A 2,854-nucleotide genomic window follows, 5' to 3' on the forward strand; every position below is an offset into this window, starting at 1 on the left:
GGCATTAAATGTTAAGACATATAAATGTAAGACACTGCACCAGTTTTAAGAATCTAAACATCCTTGACATTAAATTGTAGTTACCAAGGGTTTTTTGTTTTTTTTTTTAAGAAAAACATTTTTAAAAAAATAAGATTTGGAAGTGGGAGTAAGAAAAACTGTAGGTGTTAAATTGAAACTTCTTGTTACATACAGAAAATTATCAGTCCATCAGCTGTGACACATTCTAAGCAGGCCACAAGAAGCACAGACTGACCTTAGAGAACTGCTCCAAATACGCTAATTTGAAATATTTTACTTTTGCATGAGCCATTCCCAGTATCTCTCAGATTTCTATTATCTTGCTTCAATCCTAGGAGAGTTGCTTTAGTTCTGAATTATCCATACAAAGAGATGAACTGATGCAAGTAATTGTTATCCTCATTGCTAATTTATTTAATAAAGCCTTGTAGTGAAAACTATCAGCATTAAAGTTCTTTATGAAAAATATTAAAATAGCAAAGTCTGTTATAGCACCTTCAAGGAAGTAACTTAAGAGACTTAGGAAGTTAAAACTGTATGTTTCCTGGGCTTTTTAAAGAATGTTAAATGAAAAAAGTTCCACATTTTGTCTACATGGCATTCTAGTTTTATGTCCAAGGGGATACATAAAAAGAATCAATAAAACACCTAGAGAAGAAAATGAACTGTTAAAATAATTATTAAGGCCGTTGAGGAAATATTGACAAGGCCAATGAGAAAGATTAACTAGGGTAAATCTCTGTGTATTCACAGCCACTCACCCTCTAGGGAACCTTTCTGCAGCAAATTATATTTTCCAAAAACAGCCAGACAGTATCTATCTTCTGTCCTGTATGTGACTCTTTGAAACTCATCCCATTGAGAAGCAGGGTCTATGGTCCCTCCTCTTGGATCTATGGTGAAAGTGATGCTATGTGACTTCCAAGCCCAAGTCACAAAAGAATCAGTTTCTGCCTGATTCTCTTGGAATGTTTGCTCCTGGAGCAGCCCCACCATGCTGTGTCAAAGCTGCATAGCCATGGAAAGACCTACATCAAAGAAACCAAGGCCCTGGCCCACGGCTCCAGATGAGCTTCCAGGCAGAACCATTTTGTCAGCTATGTAGGCAAGCTGTCATGAAATGGATTCTCCAACTTTGTATCAACACATCTCAAGTGACACTACATGGACCAGAGACCAGCTGTTTGCACTGAGTCATGCCCAAATTATAGGTTGATGAGCAAAATAAGTGACTACTGTTTTAAGACACTACATTTTGGGGTAGTGTGTTACACAGCAATAGTAACTAGAACACTTCCTACACTTCAAAGCCTAAAATGCTAGCAACTCTTATTTCCCAGACTGCTTCGCAGCTAGGGTCCTGGATGAAGTATGTTCCACCACATACAGGGAGTCACAGGTCTGGAAACACAATGTTATTTTACCATGCATTATAATGTAATATTAAATGATTTATCATATATTTATTCATGCTTTCTGACTTGCTGGCTACCCTGGAAATGCCCTTACACAGATTTAGAAGACAGAAATTCACAGAAGCCCTCTTCCTGCCCTCTTGGACCCTGCTGGTAAGAAGATTATAAAGATATAATTTTTCTGCAACAGGGTTCTAGTACCTAATTTTGGAACCATGGCAGCAAGGGCAGTAGCTTCTGATTCTAGCTTCCCAATCCTGGGACCCTAGCTATGTGTATACACTCTTGGTCTTCGTGCCTTGTATGAAGTTTTCTTTAAAATACCTAGAGTGGTTTCTGCTCCCTGCTCCAAATTCAGCAAACTGGAAAAGAATGGTCTAAATGATGCTATGACCATCCAATCATTTTTTCAAGTATCTTTTCTTCTGATACTGCAGTAGCCTCAGAATATGTCTTCTTCTGGCTCTTTCCCCTTTCCCTGATTCATTCTCAACACTCAGTCGAATAAATCTTTTAGAAGCATAAAGCTGATCCTATCAGCCCCCTGTAATGTCAACCATGAAATGACCTAAACCTATGGTTACACAATGATGTTGATAGTCAGGGCTGGCTCAGACTCATACTGATGCTCTTTACCCACCCTCATGTTTTGGGGAAATTTTCACACAAACTCCAAGAAGGAAAAAAATGATAGAGAAGAATGTGTCTCTTTAGCATTACTATCCAATGTTCAAATATAACCTAAAGCTGCATTACATACAAGCCAAGCCTGTAACAACTTTCCCTTATCTCCACCTCAACCTTCAACACATCTTCGTACCATGGCTTTTAAATGTCAGTACTATTCTGCAATATTTGTATATGCCAGAATTAAATAATCATACCATATATATGCCATAATTGTTTGTTTTTATGTATAATTTTAATTGTATATAGTTATACATAAATTGACATCTCTGTTCAGAAATTATATATAATTATTTATATATATAAAACAAGCAATTATATATGATATAATTAATTATATATGGTACAATTATATATAATTAAAATTATATATATAGCAAATTTATACAGTATTATATATATTTATGTATATATAATTTCTGCTATGTGCTAGGCACCGTGACAGGTGTTGAGGATACATTGGAGTCTAGTGGAATCTTAGTTTGGATTGCTATAGAAGCAGAACCTGTGACAAGAATTTAATGCCTGTCAGGAGGAAAATGAGTCAGGGAAGGAAAGACAGCTGATAACAGATGTAGTATCAGTCAAGTTCCTCAAGTGGATAACTGGAATATAATCCCTTTGTAGAATTCTGGGAGCCAGTAGAAGACATCCACATCCAAATTATCCCATCCAAAAATCTAACGAGCTAGCCTATTGATATATCAGCTCCCATGGGTCATTGGTTGGCT

The sequence above is a fragment of the Homo sapiens genome, chromosome 7 (genome assembly GCF_000001405.40).
Source record: "Homo sapiens chromosome 7, GRCh38.p14 Primary Assembly".
NCBI lineage: Eukaryota > Metazoa > Chordata > Mammalia > Primates > Hominidae > Homo > Homo sapiens.